At 37.3% G+C, this 23,591-nt stretch overlaps 1 long non-coding RNA gene across 1 annotated transcript in view, besides 2 other annotated features; it reads right to left on the reverse strand.

The window, feature by feature from the left end:
* The window catches only part of LINC01470 (long intergenic non-protein coding RNA 1470), a 353,385-nt gene that overhangs the window by 192,454 nt on the left and 137,340 nt on the right, over positions 1-23,591 (reverse strand). The window contains exon 3 of the long non-coding RNA NR_109877.1: positions 8,827-8,882. This is a non-coding gene — a long non-coding RNA (long intergenic non-protein coding RNA 1470). The remainder of the gene's footprint in view (positions 1-8,826; positions 8,883-23,591) is intronic.
* Positions 247-1,446: an enhancer, noted in NCBI's record as "P300/CBP strongly-dependent group 1 enhancer chr5:152191225-152192424 (GRCh37/hg19 assembly coordinates)". NCBI's record gives its function as "activates an origin of replication core promoter dependent on BRD2, BRD4, P300/CBP, MED14 and CDK7 cofactors, with strong dependence on P300/CBP, by STARR-seq in HCT116 cells {active_cell/tissue: HCT116}" and the evidence as "EXISTENCE:reporter gene assay evidence [ECO:0000049][PMID:35650434]".
* Positions 656-915: an enhancer, noted in NCBI's record as "active region_23470". NCBI's record gives its function as "activates an Ori minimal core promoter by ATAC-STARR-seq in GM12878 lymphoblastoid cells {active_cell/tissue: GM12878}" and the evidence as "EXISTENCE:reporter gene assay evidence [ECO:0000049][PMID:35858748]".

The following is a 23,591-nucleotide window of genomic DNA, read 5'->3' on the forward strand; positions in this document are numbered from 1 at the left end:
CATTTTTGCATGGTGTTATGCGAAATTTTCTAGGAATGTAACTGTAAGGTAAATCAAGGGAAGATCATATTTTTTTTCATAACTTTATCAAGACTTATTCACTATTTCAATAAAGCATTCAGTCATCAGTATTGACGTTCTGTTTGTCTTGCTAATGATACACCAATATCAGTAGGTACTTGTAGCTTTGACAGTCATTATGAATTTAAATGTGTATGTTAAGCCTCAATTTTGAAACAGCAATTATAATAAAAAGTATTGATTATATTCAGATATATATTGTCTTATTGTCATATTTCTCTCAAATCTAAACATGTTGTTCATTATAAGTAGATGTGGCTGGGCAGGGTGGCTCATGCCTGTAATCTCAGCACTTTGGGAGGCCGAGGCAGGAGGATTGCTTGAGCCCAGGAGTTTGAGATCAGTCTGGTCAATAAAGTGAGAGCCCATCTCTCTCAAAAAAAAAAAAAAAAAAAGATAAAGAAAAAGTACATGTGTTGTAGAATACTGTATCAAGGTAACAAATAATATAATTGTATTATAAATGAATCTTTTTGTATTACTTTTTATATTTGGATTTTATAAAAGTATGATTTTGTTGATTACCAGAGATGGTGAATTCCTCTTCAAAGGGTTTAATTGAGTAATGTCCTTGTCCTTGGTTCAGAGGCCTCACCTCCTTGTACTTTCTTGTTTCTAGCCTGCTAGCAGCCCTCCCACTCTCGTTGTGCACCCTGACTTGCCCAGACATGTCCGAACATGCCTTGTGCTGTAGCAGAGGGACCACTCCTTCCGCCTCCCTCCCTTGCAGATGGAACGTTTACCTTAATTGGAAAAGTTTAAGTCAGCCAACCAGGGTCAGCCTAGATTGTGCAGTCCAACCCTAGCTAATAGGGGAAGGACACAGGGATAGGGACTGCATTACGAATAAAAACACCTTCTCTCCTTTGTTTGGTGTGCTCTCACAGCAGCCAAAAGTGCAAGTGGCACCCTTCTGAAGAAGTAAATTTGCCTTACTGAGAAATCCTTTGTTTGAGTGCTCATTTTCCTTGAAACTCTGAGCTCTTGTTTCTAACATTGATGAAAATGTTGATTTGATCAAAGTATGCATCAAAGTTGTTTATATTATAAGCTTCATATCAGGATATGAAAAACATTATGAAATATTTGTTATTAAAAAGGAGCTCTGGGTCAAGTAAGGTTGAAATATGAATAAACAAATGATGTTTTGATGTATACATTTTTCTGTATTACTCTTCCTAGACTATAAACGCCACAGGTCCAGGCATCTGTTACATTCACCATTGTAACACCAATGCCTAGGATAGACCATCTCACCTAGCAGGATCACTCACTCACTCTACAAACATTTGCTGAGCATCGCTGAGTCAGGAACAAAGGGAACATACCCATGGATAAGACAGCAACCAACAAATGGCAAGTAGTATACATATAGACTGGAGCAAGTCCTAGCAGGAAAATACAGGTGGTAGAAGAACAACCTAGGATGGGTGTAATTTGACAGCATGGTGAAAGCGGGTCTCTCTGACAAGGTGACTTTTGTAAAAAGGCTGAGCTGTGAAAGTAAGCCAGCCATGAGAGAGCCCTGAAAGAGCATTCTGGGCAAAGGGAACTGTGACACAAATGCCTAAGGCAAGGTAGGGATGAGCTTGACCTCAGGACAGAAAGCCAGATGTGTGGCTAGAAGGTAGTGATAGAGATGGTGGGAGATGAAAGTGATACAAGGTGAACTGAAAGAAGCAGTCAGGCGCCAAATCTCACTTGGCCTCATGGGTCTTGGTAACACATTGGAATTTTATTCTGAGAGCAATATGAGGCTACTGGAGTCTTTTAGGGAGAAAAGGAATATGATCAAGTTTCCATTTTAAAAAGATTACTCTGGCTGCAGTGAGAAGATTAGACTATTCAATGTTCACTAGTTATTTGAATAAGTAAATGCCCAAATAAATACATTTTTTGCATGAATGAATGAATAAATCTGTGAATTCAATGACACAAAAAATGCCAAGGGCTGCAGCCCTATGCTGGGCTCACATGACACCTCACTCCTCCTTTACCTTGCTTTATAACCTCCCATCTGTCCCTTTCTGAACCTCAGGTTCCTCACGGTAGGAAAATAAGGCCTTGAAGATACCCTCCAGCTCTGGAAATAATTCAATAACTCCTGCCAACCCCACCCCACTGCCAAGGCTCTCAGGCTGCAAACAGCTGAAAAGGAATGATGAATGCCTCTGCTCTGTTTATCATCCTCGCTTTGGCATTTCATCTGCAGCTGGAGCCCTCTCTATAAGACCACTCAGCAGCTATAAGCTGACTAATTTCCATGTTGATTGCAAAGCTAGAAATGTACACACTTGTAATTCTTATTCTTGGCCCAAATGCTTCTTGTCGGCAGTATCTCTGACGATGAGGCGCTGACACCACTCACTAGTTATTGTCTGACGTGCTTGCTATTGATATGAGTGGGTTTAGGAAGATGCACAATTTGATAATCAGACCCCATCTGCAAAGCAATCACGAGTCACATTATGGAGAAAATTTAAGTAAATGCTGGAGATGTGACTGTCTTATTTTCAACTTCCCTTACCCTAGCAAAGACTGAGTAAACAGATGTTGATGTATGAAACAATTTTGTATTTTTTTAAAATATAAAGAGCATCTCCCAGTGCTTTAGCATTTAATATAAGTACAGCAAATGACAGGCTATAAAACAAAATGCTTTTATGTGTATGATCTCCTTTTGCAAATGCATTGTATTAGAGTCGTAAAGTAATACGTGTTTGGTGAAGATATTCTGACCATGGGGAAACATACGACACTGAAAGAAAATATCCCTGAAGTACATTTCGGTATCACCCCCAGGTTGATGTAGTGCCTGAGGGCAGAATTTCTGGTCAAACTACATGGATTTAAGTCCTGTTTTCATCTTGTAGATCATTTTCTGTTCTGACCTCAGACTTACTATTTCACCTCTGTCCCTCAGTTTTTCCATCTGTAAAGTGGAAATAAAAATAGTACCCTCATAACAAAGTTGTGATGCCAATCAAGTTAGTTAATGAATATAAAGCATTTAGAATAGTGCCTGACACATATTAAGAACTCAATATATATTTACTATTCTCCGTCTTACCAATTTTATTACTTCTCCTCTTCGAAGCCAACCATATTTCATGGTGTCGTACAGCTTTCAATCTAACAATTCATCTGCCCACATACCCTTTATTTCTATTTTTTTAATTAAAAATGAAATGATAGGTATGACAGATTTTCAATTCTTTCCACTCAAAATATATCATGGGGATTTTATTAATATGTAGATCTGCATCGTTAACAGTTGCATAGTATTTAATCTTAAGGATGGACTAGTGTTTAACCGTTTTTCAATTAATGAACACTTAGCCTGACTCTAACTTTTTACTGCTACAAATAGTGTTAAGGTAAACTTTCCTATCAACGTATCTTTGCCCATTTGTGAGAATTTCTGTACAGGACAGATGCTGAGGAGTACCTAATCTCATTTGTATCATCACAAAAACTCTAAGGGAAAACAGGGTGAGTGAGTGCTGCCATTCACAAAGGGGGCAAATTTTAAAAGTTGAAGAAATTTCCTTAACTCCTCACAAATGCACTCTTCATAGTACATGATGGAAATGAGACAAATACTCAAGTCTTCCATTTCCAAACCCTATGCTCTTTCTACTAGATGATGAGTTGATTAAAGATTTGCTTAGTGTGTCTGATGACTTTTGCAGCCTGCAAAGTTGCCTGTATTAAAAATCTTAATAGATTTATTAGCTCCAGCTGCAGGTGAGCCTGTCAGGCCTGACTATAAACTGATTGCACATAACTAGCCATGTCTCCTTTTTATATATGTCCATAGATAATTCCCCATCCTTAAACATGGGTTAAAGATAATATTTACTGATAACATGGTAAAGACACCATACAGGGGATACAAAGGAAACAAAGTTAAAATCAGATCCTGTGGAGAGACTTTTCCCTCCATCAGCTCACAGTCTAGTAGATAGATATGAAATGTGTGTAAATAATTAAAATAAAAATTAGATTGATCACTCAAGCAAAGTGACAAATAGCAACTCTTGAGGGCTTAAGGAAGAAAAGACTGGTTATTAAAAAACATAGCCTACCCCTTCAAGCCTTCTCCTGAGTGTCCTGCCACCACATCCCTAAAGTAAATTAGGTATGGCATCAATCCTGTAACCTCATCATTTGAGTCCTTGCCATCCACAGAATGACTATTTACTCATGAATGGACAGTACTCTAGCACTCAACCAAAAATGCTTAACTTTTGTCACTTAATTTGTGAATACAGATTACAAAATTTTTACATATATATATATGTATATACATATAGAAAACTGTTGAGATTAAATGTGTAGCTGAAATGGTCTATCCAAAAGTTTGGATTGTTAAAATCAACTTTATATCATATTTTGGCAATATTCATTCAGGTGAATTACATAAAAAATTCTATTTAGTGCATTGTTATTAAATTTTTTTGAAAAATCAATAGCAATTCTTATAATGGTCTCTCTGGTCATTATCAAGCTATTCAAATATATTTTCTTTTTTTTTTTTTTTTTTTTTTTTTTTTTTTTTTTTGAGACGGAGTCTCGCTCTGTCGCCCAGGCTGGAGTGCAGTGGCGGGATCTCGGCTCACTGCAAGCTCCGCCTCCCGGGTTCACGCCATTCTCCTGCCTCAGCCTCCCGAGTAGCTGGGACTACAGGCGCCCGCCACTACGCCCGGCTAATTTTTTGTATTTTTAGTAGAGACGGGGTTTCACCGTTTTAGCCGGGATGGTCTCGATCTCCTGACCTCGTGATCCGCCCGCCTCGGCCTCCCAAAGTGCTGGGATTACAGGCGTGAGCCACCACGCCCGGCCTCCAATATATTTTCATAGCATTTGTTAGAGTCATTCTTTAGCAGCTTTTATACCATGGTTTAACTCTACTATATTGGTACAAATGAAATTCTATTTCTTTTTGATGTTTGTGGTTATTTAAAATCCATAATCAGGCAAAGGGGAAAATGGGGTGGTCCTTAGCACTCTGATCCCTAGAATGAATTTTATCTTTTTACTGTAGGCATAAAAATAAATACCAAAAATGCCAGCTGTCTTAGCTATATTAACCAGTGTTCGCTATTAAGAGGCTGAACTTGTTGGATATTACTCATAGCAGTTTTAGGTGTAAACTTGCTTATCAATGCTCCTTGAAATTCTAATTTGTTTAAAAGACTGATGCTGTTAATATCCATTCGATTTTTTCATATGGAAATATTCTGGCTCAGAGGCTGCCAATATACAATTCCACATCCTACTTGAGCAGTGATTATACTATAGATAAAAAGGTGGTGTAAGAGAGGCAGGTATACACATAAGTTCATAATCACTAGTATCTTTGTTAATAACAACTAATTCTAGAACAGCGAAATAAAATATCTCCTGACACATTGCAAATATCTATGAGTTTCGGAAAAAAAAGAAAGAAAAGAACAATTTGATTGGTTCAGTGGAAATGAATCAGGAACATATGCCTTGGATTTCTCAGTACGGGAACATGGCTGGCAAAATTCATTTAAACTATGCGGAACCCATAGTGCTTGAAAATGAGCTTGACAGACTGAAAATATATCTGTGCTATCCTATGAGCAATGCAAATAACTCTTGAATTAAGCCCAGATTTTTTTCCAACAGGCCATGAAACCTAACTGTATAATAACAGCTTGCATTTCCATAGCTCTGTTTTTCTGCCTCAACAATCCTGAAATACCGTGAGCGATGCATCCATTTTTCCTCTTTTCGCTTACAGCAGAATGTTTCGGTGGGACAGAACACACACACACACACACACACACACACACACACACACACTGATGTTTTCTGGAGTTCAAAAGAAGAAAAACAGCCACCATCAATTAAAAGCTTACTGTGAAAAAAAATGCAGTTGCAGGGCACTCTAAAAGCATTCATGCATGTAATACTTTCAACAAATACAGAAAATAGGTTGTCTTGTCAATCTCTATTTTAAAGATGTGAAAATTGAGGTTTATAAGTAACTTGGCAAGTTAGAAATTGACAGAACTCCAGTCTGACTTACTACTTAGCTAGTAATTGTAATCACTATGTTCTACTTAGCATTACCAAAATACGACAGTTAAGTCTGAATTTCAGATAAATGATTAATATTTTAAAATGGATATGATCTATGCAATATTTAATGTCATGTTTATACTAAAAATAGTAATTTAATAATTTTTTAGTATAAAAATGTGCCATATATTATTTAGGATATATTAATACTTAAAAGTATTTGTTATTGACCTATAATTCAAATTAACTGGGTGTTCCATGTTTTAATTTGCTAAATCTGGAAATCCAACTTCTATTGCTTCCTTAAATTAAATAAATGAGACAAGAGATGGAGTTTGTGGATTAGAGAAGTACGTCTCTCTACAAAGGAAAACGACATCTGAAATAAGGCTACAAGTAGCAGAAACTTTTCACCAACCAGTTTTTGGGCTCAGAAAGGATACGCATGCCATTACAGTTGGCAAACAAACAAACAAACAAAACACAACCAGTTTTAAAAAACATTACTCAACTCCTGGTTTCCTAAAAGCCCCTTCCTACTTTCAACAGTATTGTGGGACAATTAATTATTCTTAGAAGGAACATAGTTGATAGCTATTTTAGATAGATACTTGTTATTTGGGGAACTTATTAGAGAGAGCATGAGGTCACTGTCCACCTGAGTAGGGGAGGAGAAAGGCAAACACTGAGGAGGCAAAGAAACCCAATATGTGCATTATGGGTACCACAGAAGAGCATGCTCTCTAGAGAGGGGTCCAAAGACTAGGAGTCAATAGTCTTTGTGAATCTCTTACCCTCTATCTTGTTTAGTGTTAGAGTCTCAGTTCCCAGCACAGTGCTTGGCAGTGTTGGTACCCGATAATTATTTGTGGAATAAATGAATAAATGGATTTTCTCAGCTGTAAACATCAAAGAATGTAACCAACTCAGGCAGAACTGCAATGTTTCAAACCAGGCCTATTATTTTTGCAGATTTTTCTCTGGGGTTACCTTAACAGAATGGCTCCTGAAGGCAGGCAGGGAAATCCTGGCACAATTCTTACTTCAGCCAGAGCACCTCCTGGTCTAGCTCTTTAATACATTGAGGTGCAAATGAGATTTCACTTAGAAATAGTTCCATTGTAAAAATTAAATAGTTATAATAATATGTTTAAAATTTAGGAGAAAAATCTCATTTCTCAGGTTTTTTTTTTTTTCTCTCTCTACCCGTGGTCTATTCTCCAAAGCAAAATGATCTTACATGCTTGCTCAAAGCCCGCAGGTGAGGACGGAGAAGACACGATCTACAAGACAGCAGAGTGAAGATGGACCCTCAAAAGGACTTCTCACCCCGGTCTCCAGTTTTCCCAAATGATTTTTCTCAGTAACCTCAAGTCTTGCCTGAAGAGATAATTACTTGGCAAATTAACAGTACAAAAAATGAGGGAAAAAATCATGCACAATCTCTCCAGCAGTTTGTCATATTGAAAATACAGCATAATTGATTCTATTAATGCACCAAGGGAATACAAAACCGTAATCAGTTTTTCTGTCATGTTTATATGTATAGTGATGGAAGTCTAATTGCATAATTTATCATTATGAAATAACAGTACAGATTACAGGTATGCGTAGTAAACAGCTGGATGGTGTTAACTAGCTTTTGTATAAATCATTGTAGGCCCTTTTGATTCAGTACACAAATCAGTCTGGGGAAACCTCAATTTTGACCATGTTCAACTATATTATAATTCTCACGTTAACTGTTTCAATACCTACGTATGTCACTAGCTCAAGCTCTGGTCATCTCAGAGGGCATGTTACAGGAGGGCGACCTTAAAAATTCCCTCAAGCCATGCTCCGGTCTGCACAATAGCCTTCAATGGCTTCCCGTTAGCACAGAAGAAATTCAGACTGCTCAGTCCTTATCTCCAGCCCCTTCTCTTTAGGCCCTACCATGCACCCATTATATCAGAGCTATATCAGATTACTTGCCACTCCTTGAAAGCTCAATCTTCTTTATCTTTTATGGTCCTTTGTTTATTTTTCTAAATCCTACGGTTTTATATGTGGATTAAAATGTCTTTAAATAAAAACTATTCGGACATCAGGCATGCTTCTAGGCACATGTCTGTTATTAAAGTAAAGCGGAAAGCTTCGGAGAAAACAAAATAGATAACACCTATCCCTACTTCTCCTGTTAAGCACAAATAAAAACGCTGAACATTATAAGACAGACGGAAGACGACTCTGAAAACTGGGCAGAAGGTGGCAGACTGGATAGGGAACTGTGCCCTGAATGATGACATGGCTATGAGTTTCCTGGGTTTTCTTTTATTTTGCATCAGACAACTCAGACTAAGTGCTGGTGAAGCCAGCTAACTGGAAATACCAAAAGGCACAAACAAGCTAAGCAACATCAAAAGACTTTCTCCAGTCAAAGCAGTGTTCAGGCAAAACCAGAAAATGTTTAGCCAATAATGGCACTCCTGCAGCCACTCTGACTCCTCACTTCCATGTTGTAACAAGAAGTGCCAGCCTCCCCCAACCCACCAGGGTGCTGTCTGAGAAGGCCAAGTGAGAAACTGAAACTTTTATCCCTGCTGGGCAGTAACAAGCTCCAATCCCTATCAGTATCAGAGTAAATCATATGGGGGAACCTGGACTTTCACCCAAACCCAGTAAGGAGGCACACCTTCTCTCCCTCCATACCTTCTCTCCTTCCAGGTGGTGTATCAGGAATGTCACAGGAGATGTCATTACAGAGACTGTAAACATAAAAAGGAGAATAAGGGGCTACTATGAACAATTCTACACTTACACATTTGACAACTTAGATGAAATAGATCAATTCCTTGAAGCTATCACAACACATTCAATGTAAAACAGAGAATTTGAATAGCCCAATAACTATTAAGGAAATTAAATTCACAATTTAGAAACTCCCCATAAAGGAATCTCCAGCCCCAGATGGTTTTGCTGAAGGATTTAACCAAATGATTAAAAAGAAATAACACCAATTCCACACAATCCCTTCTAGAGCAAAGAAGAGGAGGAGGAGGAAATACTTTCCAATTCTTTTATAAAGCGAGGATCCCTCTGATCGCTGATACTAAATCAGAGAAAGTACAAAAAAGAAAACTATAGACCAATACCCATCATGACATGGACACAAAAATCCTTAACCAAATATTAGCAAACGAGTTTAGCAATAGGCCAGGCCGGTGGCTCACGCCTCTAATCCCAGCATTTGGGAGGCCAAGTTGGGTGGATCACTTGAGCTTAGGAGTTTGAGAGCAGCCTGGGCAACGTGATGAAACCCTGTCTCTACCAAAAATACAAAAAATTAGCTGGGCATGGTGGCGTGCGCCTGTGGTCACAGCTACTCAAGAGGCTGAGGTAAGAGGATTGCTTGAACCTGGGAGGCAGAGGTTGCAGTGATTTGTGATCACACCACTGCACACCAACCTGGGTGATCAAGTGAGACCCCCCCTCTCAAAAAAAAATAATAAATAATTTGGCAACATATGGAAATAATTATAAATCATGACCAAGTGGAATTTATTTCTTAGATACAAGTCTGGTTCGATATTCAAAGATATGCCAATATAATCCAACATAGATCTAGGTTAGAGATGAAAATAGATAACATAGGCTGGGCACGGTGGCTCACGCCTATAATCTCAGCACTTTAAGAGGCCGAGGCAGGTGGGTCACTTGAGGTCAGGAGTTCGAGACCAGCCTGGACAACATGGTGAAACCCCATCTCTACTAAAAATACAAAAAATTAGCCAGGCATGGTGGCACATACCTGTAATCTCAGCTACTTGGGAGGCTGAGGTTGGAGGATTGTTTGAACCCAGGAGGCAAAGATTGCAGTGAGCCGAGATCATGGCACTGCACTCCAGCCTGGATGACAGTAAGACTCCGTCTCAAAATAAAACAAGATAACATAGCAATTTATGCAGGACCCATTGACAGTTAGAGAAACTCTCCGAAATGTAGGAATAGAAGGAAATTTCCTCAACTTGATAAAGAGCATCTACACACACACACACCCACACACCCACACACACACATATACCACAGCTAACATTAAACTTAGTGGTAAAACACTGAATGCTTTTCCTCCGAGATTGGGGTACAAGACAAAGATATCTGCTCTCACCACTCTAATTTAGCACAGTGCTGGAATTTCTGGCCAGTGTGATAGGCAAGCAAAGAAAATAAAGGGCATACAGTTCAGAAAGGAAAAAATAAAACCACATTTGGAGATCAGAAGACTACTACAAACATTCTAAAGTATAATAATAATAAAAAAAGATGCCCTAAATTTTTAAAATAAAAGGCAAAATATAAAAAAAATTCCAAGAATCCACAAAAAAAAAAAAAAAAAAAGAAAACACCTAGAACACAAAAGTTGGTTCAGCAAGATCATAAGATACAGCATAAACATACAAAAATTAACTGAATATCTATATCTCAGCAATGGGCATATGATATCAAAATTAAAAATAAAATGATGTATAAAAGCTCAAAAGAAAAAAAATAAAATACTTAGATGTAAATCTAACAAAACATGTATAGGACTTGTATGCTGAAAACTAAAATCACTAATGAAAGAAGTCAAAATATACCTAAACAGAGAAACATACAGAATTAATGCATTAGAAGACTCAATATAGAAAAGATGTCAATTCTAGGTAAATTGAAATAGAGGTTTAATGTAATTCCTATCAAAACCCCAGTAAGGGTTTTTATAGATATACACAACTTTAAACAAAAACATATATGAAAATGCAAAGGAACTCGAATGGATAGTAGCATTTTGAGAAGAAAAAGTAGAAACGATCAGTTTATTTGATCTAAAGATTTAATATATAACTTCAGAAGTTAAGACTGTATAGTATTGGTGGAGATACAGATATATACATCAATATGAATGGATAATTCAGAAGAAGATGCACATGAATATGCCCAATTTTTGACAAAAGTACAGATACAATTTGGTGGAGGTAAAAGAGCCTTTTTAACAAATGGTAAAGGAAAAATTGGACATCCATAGCCTAGGAAAAAAAGAAAAACACTATCGTAATCTAAACCTCGCACATTATAATAATGAACTCAAAATTGATAACAGACTTAAACATAAAAATAAAGCTATAAAACTTTTAGAAGGAAAAACAAAATCTTCAGGATCTATGGCTAGGCAAAGAGTTTTTAGATTTGACACCAAAAGCATCATTCATAAAAGGAAAAATCGAGGAACTGAACTTCATTAATATTAACATCTTTGCTTTGTGAATGACTGTTAAGAGATGAAAAAACAAGCTACAGAATGGGAGAAAACATTTACAAAACCCACATCTGGCAAATGACTAGTACCTATAACAAGTAAAGAACTCTTGAACTGTAGCACTAAAAAGTCAAACAATTAAACTAGAAAATGCACAAAAATCAGGAATAGACATTTCATGGAAGAGAATAAAAACAGATGACAAATAAACATGTGAGAAAACTGTTCAATATCATTAGCCACGAGAGAAAGGCAAAATAAAACCACAATGAGATGTCACTACAGACCTAGGAGGATGACTAAAATAAAAAATATAGTGAAACTACCAAATGCTTGTGAGAATCTGGGAAAACTTCACCACTTTTTCACTTTACTAATGGAACATAAAAGGGTACAGCCACCAAGAAAATAGTGTGCCAGTTTCTTAAAAGACGAAACATATAACTGCCATATAATCCAGCAATGCAGTCCTGGACATTATCCCAGAGAAGTTAAAATGCATTTTCACATAAAAATATGTACAAAAATGTTTACAGTAGCTTTATCATAATTATCTCAAACTGGAAACAAACCAGATGCCTTTCAAGAGGTAAGTGGTTATCCAAACTGTGGTATATCCATCCTGTGGAGTGCTACCAAGCTAAAATAAATCAATCAAAAGAGACATTGATCTACTGATTCACGTGACAACCTAGATGAATTTTTAGAGATTCTTTTTTTCTGACTGAAAAAGTCCTAAAAGGTTGCATAATATATGGTTCAATTTGTATTACATTCTTATGACAAAATTATTGAAATGGAGCACAGATTATTAGTATTCAGGGGGTAAGGAAAAGGTAGGAGATGGGAAGCAATTAGGAAACAGGTTACAAAAGGGCAAAATAATCCTTTAGATAATGGTAATGTTCTGTATCTTGACTGTATCAATGTCAATATCCAGGTTGTGATAAAGTATTATAGTTTCACAAGATTACTCAGTTACCACTGGGGTAAACAGTAGGTAATCAATGATTATTTCAAAACAAAAATTTAAAAATCCATTACCATGGAGGAGGCAGGGGTGTTTCTAGAGGGAAATAAATGAATTCCACATCAAACAATAGACTGTTGGTATGTTTGAAGGAAACTACAGCACAGCTCCTATCCTATCAATTATGAGATGCTGTTAAATGGCACCTTCGGCTGGCAACAACACTTATACGCAATTTTTTTTCCCTGTGTTCCTCTTATCCTCTTTAGTGTCCCTTTCTTTCCTATCACCTTCCCCCACTTCTCTAAGGCCCTCAATACCCCTTATAAAAAAAGATAATTAACAGAATTGATCTAAGCAACTCCCTAAAGTGAGGACAACTCCCTAAAGTGAGATAAATGTTGACGCCATTTCATATAGAAGGAAATATCACCAGAAATAGAGAGAAGACCTGGGCTCTAATTCCAGCTTGATACTTCCTTGGAGAGTCATTTTGAGTGAATGATTGGACATCAGTTCCCCTCTCCAGAACACGATTAGACTCCATGTGTGTTCTGTCTTATAGTGTGTTGATTATGAGAATAAATGAAATAATGGAAATCAAGGGGTTTTGTAAAGGACAGGGTGCTGCGCATATGCTGACATTGTTATTATTTCAACTTGAGGGCATCTCTTTATATGAGAAGGCAAAAGTGCAAGTCAACCTTCACTGGCTGAATTTTCAGGAATGAGTCACAACTGACAGAGGGGATTTTTTTTTTTTTTTTGTATAACCACCACCCAATTTGCCTACTTTTAAGACTACTCTTTGATAAATTCCCAGTACAATAGTACAATTGCCATCATAGGCACAGGCATGATCCGAAATGGCAGTTTGAAAGAACATTGCACCATTATCCTCAGGAGATCTCACAGTGTCCTGCACAGAGAGTCCTCAAAATATGTTAATTTGAAAGGAATAATACTTACAAGGGCTAGCTGATGACTGTGACAATCAACAATATAACCAATATCTTGGTGGGAGGTTAAAACTATGAAGAGGGAACTCTGCTTGGCATGCAAAAATCCAAAGAAACTAATATTCTTAGGAGGTTGCTCCTTATCCAGGTACTAGGCAGAGTAGACTCTGCCTCCTACTCAAGATCCTAGATAATCTGTTTGTTTCCTGTCTGTCATCTGGGCAAACCTCCATAACCTAAACCAGGTATGGTGAATTCAAGGCATGTTTACTGCTGTACTCTGCTCCCACATCCAGGGAAGGCGTTGCTAATTGAATGCAACTCTTTGAGGTCAATCATAGCTGCCACTCAAGAAGAAATCCACTCGCCAGCACTTGTTAATATGCTCTTTGCCAAAAAGTCTTTTAATGAACACCTCCATTTCTATAGTGTGATGTAGTGCCTATTACATATAAGGCAGTAGCGGGGGGCAGCAGTTGATTTTAAGGGGCTTAGAGTCAACCAGAAGGGAAAATTTGGGCACAGATAACTTTTCCTTGGGGTGGACATGGTGACGGTGCCAGAACAAAGACACAAGTATCAAAGCAAGTCTAGAAAGTGAGACATTTACTATTAGCATCTAGGAAGACTTCATGATAAGGTGGCAAAAGTGTTGCTTGGTCTCTAGGTTGGGGAGGACTTAGATTTCCAGACATGACAGAAAGAGCATTCTATTCAGAAAGCAAATGCAATAAATGTAGGGAAGCCAAAAGTATGTATAGGGAACAATGGATACTCATGTTTGATGCATAGGATGTATTGAGGGAAATGGAAGAATGACCAAAAAGGAAATTTAACAGGAAAATTGGGGCTAAATCTTAAAGACTCTGGGTGAAATGGGATGAAAATACCTGCACTTCCCAAAACACCCAGATAGGGCAGACTTTTTCATAAACACATCAATTTTAAAACCAGAAGAGTTGTCAAAGAAATCCTCTACTTTTTATGCAATACAGTATTATTTCATTTCACAGATGAGAAAACTGAGAACCCAAGAGGCTTAGTATTTGGGTCAAATCCAGAACCAGGGTAGAATGTAGGGGCCCTGCCACTTAGTGAGCAGTGTGTTCTTTCCTGGTTTTTAGTTGTCTGTCCCGTAAGGCACAGGGGTAAATGATAAAGCGTGCTTGAATCACACCTCCCCCGGTCTCTTCATTGGTGCGGAGTTTTCCTCATCAGAAGTCACCTCCTTGTTGAGGCTTTCTCTGCCCATACTTTCTGAAGTAGCCCCCTCATCCCTTTCCATCTCATCAGTCTGATTTTCCTCACAGCCTACGTCACTCTTTGAAATTACTTTCTTCATTTATCTATTTTTATAAATTTGTCTTCTTTTTTCAGTAGGCAAGCCTTATTCTTTTTGCTTTCCCCAGAACTCTATCTTCTATTATTTCAAACCTAGGAATAATTTCAAGCCTAGGAAAAAGCAAGAGAATAAGATGAGCCAGAAGGATGAGATGGAGAGAGAGAGGAAATTTACAAGGAAGTCAATGCAGTTTACAAGGAAGTCAATGCAGTTTACAAGGAAGTCAATACTGTTCATTCAACAAACTCCGAGCACCTGCCTTTTGTGCAGCTCTGTGCCAGGCAATAATGAGAGGGATACCAGAACGAGAATTAGGCATGCTACAGTCCCCATCCTCAAAGAGGTTGTAGTCTAGAAGGAAAGCCAAAATTCATCCACTTCATATCTAGATTTTAAAAAATATTACAACTAGGGTTAGTTTAAATAAAGGGAAATCCAAGTAACTATGAGAGCATATAAGACTCAATCTTATCAGAGAAGACTTCACTGAAGAAATGATGTTTAAGCTGAAGACCTTGAGGAAGATATGAGTAAATGTGGTGAAGAGAGGAAGAATACCCTGGGTGGAGAGAACAGCAATTCATCAGCCAAGTGCCACATGCCTAGGTCTCCTACTGATAATGGTGGTCTCCAAGTGATGGTGGTCTCCAGGCAGCCACATGCCTGTCTTTCTGGAACACTGTCATCCTAGCAGGGCTCCTGGCCACGTGAGGAATAGGTGTGTGACAGGATCAGTGGTACCAATTAATTATCATTCTTTGTGCTCGAATCATTATTAGTCTCAGAATAAACACTGGATAGCTGATGAAATTTTATCTCTCTGCAGCAGCATTTTAATTTGCATGCTTTATGACACTAATATTTGTACAGTAGCCAGTAGTTAGTTTTCAAAGCCAGCCTTTCTCACCATTTATCTAATGAAGTGAGAGAGGAAATTAAGTAGTTTTCCTCCCCTCTCCCCGCTGAGGATTTCTCCTTCCTCTGGGCGTTTCTGTATTTCCTTTCACATTTCCATGACTTCACTTGCTTATTAATTTAACATTTGCTGAGTCCACTATGGGCAAGGTACATGGTGGAAGCTATGGGGAATTCTAGCTCTCAGGAAGTAAATGTACTCAGAGACTGATCAGTCTTTTTTCTTTTACATTGAAGACAAGAATCATCCTCTATTTGCAGTTCACTGAACACGCTGTTGTTTCAGGCCTTCATGTGTTAGTCTTGTTACTCTCTTTGCCTAGAATTTTCTTCTTCCTTTATAGGCCTTACACTCTTTAAAATTTAGCTAAATTCAAGTGCTCTTTTGAAGTCACAGATCTCTCAGGATTATTTTGATTACAATTGACAGAAACCCTAATTTTAAATAGCTCATATTTAAAAAGGAAATTTGTTGTCTTATGTAGCCAAACAGTCTTGAGGGATACCTGGCTTCAAGTATAGCTTATTTCAGGCAAACCAATGTCACCAGCAACCAGATCTTTTTGTGTGTGTGTGTATATTTTACTCTGTACAAACTCCAGCCCTTGTAAACTTCTGGTTTCACATCTCATGGGGGAAAACAAGAGTGTTTTCCCAGCAATCTCAAGGAAAAGTTTCATTTCTCATTGGCCTGAACTGCATCTCATGATCATCCTTGGACCTCCTGCTGTTCTCACATGAGTGCAGGGCTCTGATTAGGCAGGCTTAAGTCATGTGGTAGTCTTCTTGACCCATGGCTGTTTCTTAAATACTTTTTTCATTCCTATCATGAAATCATCCCTTTCTTTAGCCCTAGAATTACTCATAAAACTGTATTTTCTACATGTTTGGGAATTCCTTGTAGCAGATGAGGTGGAGAAAGAGACAAGGGCATGGTGACAGAGATGAAAAAGGCTGTAACTGACCTACTTGTAAAGATGTTAATAATAAATATTCATTTGTTGGTGGCTTTCTATACTCAAAGTATCACAGGGTGCACATCAAAGTAGAGGTTAAACAGGAAGATATGGCCTACACCCAAGAAACTGGATGGTAGTATTGTCAAATATTAGTATGAAAATAATGTCATTAATATACATTTATTATATACTAAATATCATTCTGTGGGCTTTACTAACATTTTTCATTTAACCTATGCAATAACATACACATTTACAGATGGGTAAAGAGAGATTTGAAGTAATTGGCTTGGTCATACAACAAATTCCTGTATCAAAATTTGAATCCACTGTAAGAGATGAATAGTGCATAAAACCCAGAAGTTATTGCCTTCATAGGGTGATACAGCTACAGTAGGAAGACATTATTTAAATAATGTATAAAAAGATCAAATTACACAGTGAAAGATTCACAATGAAGAGGCACAGGGTGCTATAAGAATATATAGCAGAGGGCCTCTGGAACATTAAGTAAAGTTCTTCTGGAAAAAACTATATTTGAACTAAGACTTTGGAGATATGACTAGGGTTAAGAAGACGGAAAGAAAAGGGACATTCTAGACAGAGTACCCAATGTGTTTAGGTGTTCTGAGGACCCAGGAAACACGACATATTTGAGGATCTGAAAGAAGACCAGAGTGGTTAGCGTACCAAGAAATGTCCTGCTGTATGGATAACCTGGTGTGTAACAAAACTGTAGAGAAAGTAGCCAACCTTGCATTTTGGCTAACCTTGCAGGAGTTTGGTAGGCTATAATACATATTTTGGTCTTTGTCTTTAGATTATTCAGAAACAATTTTGAGCATAGGAATGACTTGATTAGATTGCACTGCAGAACAAGAAAGAAGGTAGAAAGAGACCAACTAGGCATTTGTTGGATAGTCAAGACAACAGATTGCAGTGGTGTTAGAAGTAAACATAGAGAAATTGACTGATTCAATACATGATTAGGGATTAAAATCAGTAGCACTTCGTCATGATATTAATTGTTGGGTTGGATTTGGAAGGGTAGGGTGGGAGAGAAGGAAGTGTCAGGATGAAGTCCAGGTTTGTGTAGTTATCTTACTAGGAACTAAAGATAGCTGGCATAGTGAAGTGCACACATCAGGTGGGGAAATTGAGGAATGCAGGTAGAATTGGAGGAGAGGCAAGAGTGCCATCACAGGAAAGAGGAAAGCCCATGTGGGGTGGTTTTGGTGAGCAGAAAATTACCAGGAGCCATTTGGTGAGGGAAAACAATGGAAGATAAGATAGGAAAACAGGATAGAAACAGATCAAATAGGATCTCAGAAACCAGAATAAGGTGTATATACATAATTCAGTAGCCAGGGAGAACCACCAAAAATTTCAGAGAAGAGGAATGGCATGACCAGCTGAACATATAAGGAAGACTCTTGTGATGTGGCAGCACAAAAAAATAATAATTGTAGGGCATAGTGAAGGGGCATCGATGAGATCAGAGTGAGGATGAATAATACAGAGGCTGATGCCATGTCTTCAGAGAAAGACAGAAAGGGTCTGAAATGGGATAGTGGAGATGGGGTAGAGAATCAGATCCAAAATCCAAAGTAAGGTGAATGTGCCATGGTGCTGAATACCATCAGGTTTAAGAAGAATTAAAACGTGATTCTCTGCCTCAGGAAAATTACAATTTAGCAAGAAGTGAGATTTAGTTTTATTTGTAGAAGCTCAATGAGTAATATAAAATAGGACAAAACTATAGAATTTCAGAAGACAGAGGGATGATTCTATTTGAAGGGATATAAAAAGAACTCAGAAAGAGGACTAGAAGAATTCAGAACATTGCTTTTGTTCAGTAGACAGAGAAGAGGGGGAAAGCATTTTCAGAGGTCACAAACTCAAATGTTTTTGTGTCCGGAATGATCTGATTTTGATGTTTGCCTAAGATTCCATTGTCATATGTCTGATTCCTTGGTACGATTTTGCCTCTCTTTTCAGCCCCTCACTAGTAAGCATCTTCTGCAAATTGCTCTAAAGAGACCTGCAGCCCTTTCTAGAGCAGTTAATGAAGATGGTAATGAGATTGGGCTGAACTGTGATCCCAGAGAGTCCCCTGTAGACAACTTGACCTTCTTGAGGCCTGTGATGCCACTCGCCGCTACCCTTTGTCAGTTTTCCCATTACATTCTTTGACAGTTTTCAATCCTGATGACAGTGCTCATATCCAAGCCATTTTACAGTTAATCTTGCAGGTAGTCTCTCATCAAACTCTCCCACAGTTTCCTGAGATGCCAACATACAACTCACAATGCATTTATTTCATGTATTATATCAGAAAACCAGTCAAGGATTTCTAATGTTTTTATCATAATACTAAGTAGCATATCCATTTATATTTGTAGCTTCGGAGCTGACAGCTTTGTTAGAAAATGAAGCTGTAATTATCAGTGGTTGTTCTAGAATCAAAGGAACAAAATATTTTACTATAGGAAGGGGACTAAGAGGTAGTCTGATAATAACTCTCTCATATATGTCCAGCAGTTTTACAGTTTTTAACCATTCTCCTTTGCCCCATGACACACACTGGGCAGGAGTCACCATCACCATTCTGCAGTTGAGGGAATGGTGTCTGAGAAAATTAATGTGACTCACTCAAGGTGACACAGCTAGCAAATGGCACACAAACCTAAAACCCAATCTTTTGATTCTTAGTTTACTTATCTTTGTACTTTACTGTGTTGGTATAGAAAGTATGAGAACTGTCAGGGTGTTGTCAAAGTCAAATAACATCAAGGGATAGGGGGATTAGAAAGTAATAGTGTTTGATGCACCCAGGTATTATCAAACATGTGAATGATGGAACTGTAGCCAAAAGAGAAGGTATATGCCCGGTCTAACAGCATTAACATAAAACATAGCCCCACTCTTCTGGCCAAATACAGCACACATGTAGACTGGATTTGGCCTACAGAATGCCAGGTTATGACCCTTATTTCAACATCTGAGAAAAAAATAACTACCCAGTTTCTGTTCCCTCAATCCCTAGTTTTCAAAATATTTTACCTTTGTGAGAATGTTTGATATTTTTATTCCCATAGTCCTCTGTCAAGTATTCAAATCCTCAGGTTGTTACATATGCTTTTGATAATCACATTTATATCAAGAACCATATGGTTATCATGATAATTAAGATGGTATATGTACAAAATAAAAGACAGTCAAAATTACTACTGAGTTCAGAAGAGGGATGTTTTCCCTGGGGACTGATGTGATTAGAAGAGGCTTCCTGGATTATGATACTTCATTTGAGCTTTAAAGAATGAGTAGCTCTTAGATGATGATAATGTTCAACCATCAGTCTCTAAATATAGGTGCTCAAGACACCATTGAAAAAATATTATATCCATATTAATTTTATCTATTCATATTTAAAATTTTATTTAAGTTTAGCAGGCATAGAACATATTTGTGTACTAATATCTGTATATAATTTATAAACAATAAATATACATTTGTTTGGATATATTCTGAATTTTTTTCTAATGAAAGTTGAGATCAAAAGAGTTTAAAAGCCATTAGACAGGTAATGATAATTATCGTTTTTGAATGGTTATTCTGAGGTAGGTACTTTATCTATTTCAATTTCATTCATTTCTGCTCTTTATTATTTCCATCTTGCTGCTTCTTTTGGCTTTATTTTGTTCTACCTTTTCTAGACTCCTGAAATAAAAAATTAGATTATTGATGTGAGATTTTTCTTTCTTCTAATATATGTGCTATATTTAGTGCTATAAATGTCCCTCTCAGGCCTGTGTTAGTTATATCTCGTAAATATTGATATATAGTATTTTTATTTCAGTGAATTTTTTGGGTTTCCTTGAGACTTCTTTGATTCATGAGTTATCTAGACATATGCTGTTTAGTTTTCAAGTGTTTGAAGATGTTACCTTTCTGCTAATAAATTTTAGTTTGATTCTATTGTGGTCATTTCAATTCATGTAAATTTGCTGAGGTTTGTTTCATGACCCAGTATATGGTCTATCTTGGTATATCTTCTTTGGGCACTCAAAAACAATGTGTATTCTGCTGTCATTTGATTAATTATTCTACAAAATTTTGTTACATCTTGTTGATTGATAGTACTGTTGGATTTTTCTGTATCCTTACTGATTTTCTGTTTAGTTGTTCTAACAATTGTTGAAAGAGGGGTGTTAAAATGTTTAATTATATTTGTAGATTTGTCTATTTCTCATTTCAGTTGTTTCTCTTTCACATATTTTACAGTTTTTTTGTTTGGTGCATATACATTTGGAATCCTAGGTCTTCTTGGTACATCAACAATTTCATCAGTATATAATGTTCCTTTCTGTCTCTGGTAATGTTTTCTGTGGTTAAATATATATTATCTGATATTAATATAGTCAATTCTGCTATTGATTACTTTATAAATACTTTTTCCACCCTTTACCATCAATCTGCCTGTATCAATATAGTTGGCCCTCTGTATCCACAAGTTCCTGATCCACATATTCAACAAATTGCAGATCAAAAATATTTGAAAAAAATTAAAATACAATAAAATAATAAAGATAAAAACAATACATTTACAGAGAACTGACATTGTATTAGGTATTATAAGCAATCTATAAATAATGTAAACTATACAAGATGATGTACACAGGTTATATGCAAATACTACACCCATTTTATATAAGGAACTTGAATATCTATGGATTTTAGTATGCACAGGGATTTTGGAACCAATTTCCTGTGGATACTGAGGGATGACTGTATTTGCAGTACCTTTCTTAAAGACAATATTTTGATGTATCATGTTTTTCAATCTACTCTGTCAATCTCTGTCTTTTCATTAGTATAGCTAGAGCATTTTTACTTACTGTAATTGCTTATGTAACAGCGTTTATGTCTGCCATTTAATTTTTTTTATTTGTGGTTTGTTTCTGTATTGTTTTGTTTCTGTTTTTTCTTTCTGCCTTCATGGGTGTTAAACATGTTTTAGAATTCCAATTTCTCTAGTTTGAGTATATTCCTTTGAATAGCTTTTTTAGTGGTTTCTCTACATGTATTAGTTATCACATTGTTATAAAGAACTAGCTGGGTAATTTATAAAGAAAAGAGGTTTAGGCCGGGTGCAGTGGCTCACGCCTGTAATCCCAGCACTTTGGGAGGCCGAGGCGGGCGGATCACGAGGTCAGGAGATCGAGACCATCCTGGCTAATACGGTGAAACCTCATCTCTACTAAAAATATAAAAAAATTAGCTGGGCATGGTGGCAGGTGCCTGTAGTCCCAGCTACTCGGGAGGCTGAGGCAGGAGAATGGCGTGAACCCGGGAGGCAGAGCTTGCAGTGAGCTGAGATCGTGCCACTGCACTCCAGCCTGGACAACAGACTGAGACTGTCTGAAAAAAAAAAAAGAAAAGAAAAGAAAGTAAAGGGGTTTAATCAGCTCACAGTTCTGCAGTTCTGCAGGCTGTGCAGGAAGCACGGCTGGGGAGGCCTCTGAAAACTTTGAAGCATGGCAGAAGGTGAAGGTGAAGCAGGCATGTCTTACATGGCCGAAGCAGGGGGAAGAGGGTAAAGGGGGAGGTGCTACACGCTTTTAAACAACCAGATCTCAGGAGAACTCACTCATTGTCATAAGAAAACAGAGGGGGAAATCTGCCCCCATGATCCAATCACCTCCCACCAGGCCCTTCCTCCAACATCGGAGGTAACAATTTGACATGAGATTTGGGTGGGGATACAAATCCAAATCATATCATTAGGTATTATATTACATATACATAACTTAATGCAGGCTATTGATGTCATCATTTTACTCCTTTAAGTGCATAAATCTTGCCTTCTTTTATGTCCTTTTACTGCTCTTTATTTGGGTCTTAGCTCAGGCTGCCACTGAAAACTACCAAAGGCTGGGTGGTTTAATAATAGTATTAAATTTATTAATTAAATTTATTTCTCACAGTTCTGAGTGCTGAAAGTCTCTAGGATAAGGGTAAAAGCATGGTCCATTTCTAGTGAGGCTTCTTCTCCCATCTTGCAGATGTTCGCTTTCTCCGTGTCCTCACATGGCTGAAGAAGAGGAAGCTCCCTAGAATCTCATCTCATAACAGTTAATTCTATTACGAGGGCCTCACCCTCACCACCTAATCTGAACCTAATCTGAACCCAAAAGACCCCCTTTCCAGACACCATTACATCAGGGATTAGCGCTTCAACATGTAATTTTTAGGGGATGGGACACGATTCAGTCGTTAGCAATTTGTAATGTAATCGTCTTAAATATTTTCTTTATAGACATTTAGGACTACACCAGACAGTGCTACTATTTTTGCTATTACTGTGAAATATAATAACATAACGTAGAAAGCTCAAGAGGAGAAGAAAAGTCTATTACATTTACCCATGTATTTTACTTTGTTCCTTCTTCATTTTTAATGCTCCAAGAATCCTTCTGCTATCATTTCCTTTCTGTTTACAGAACTTAATTTGGTCATTCTTTTAGAGTAAGTTCAATGGGAACAAATTGTATTAGTTTTATTTCTTCCAAAACTGTCCTTATTTCCTTTTTTCCTGAAGAATATTTTTGTTGGAGATAGAATTTGGGGTTGACATTTCCTTCTTTCAGTACCTGACAATGTTGTATCATTCTTTCTAGCCTCTAACAGTTTCTGGTGAGAAATCTGCTGTCATTTGAATTATTTCTTTTCTACAAGTAAACTGTCATTTATGTCTCCCTGCTTTCATAATTATTTTGTCTTTCATTTTCAGAAGTTTGACTATGGCATTTATTGGTGTGAATTTCTTTGGTTTTCTTCTGTTTGGGATTCAGTTGGTTCCTTGAATCTGTATGCTTAAACCTTTTGCCAAATTTGAGATATTTCAAGTACTTTATCAGCTATGCTATCTTCCTCCTCTCATTTCAGGACTTCAGTGATATCAAAGTTAGAACTTGTCTTATAGTTCCATATGTCCCTGAGGCTCTGTCCGTTATTTTATCCAGTCCATTTTTTT

This window comes from Homo sapiens, chromosome 5 (genome assembly GCF_000001405.40).
Source record: "Homo sapiens chromosome 5, GRCh38.p14 Primary Assembly".
In the NCBI taxonomy this organism is placed as follows: Eukaryota; Metazoa; Chordata; class Mammalia; order Primates; family Hominidae; genus Homo; species Homo sapiens.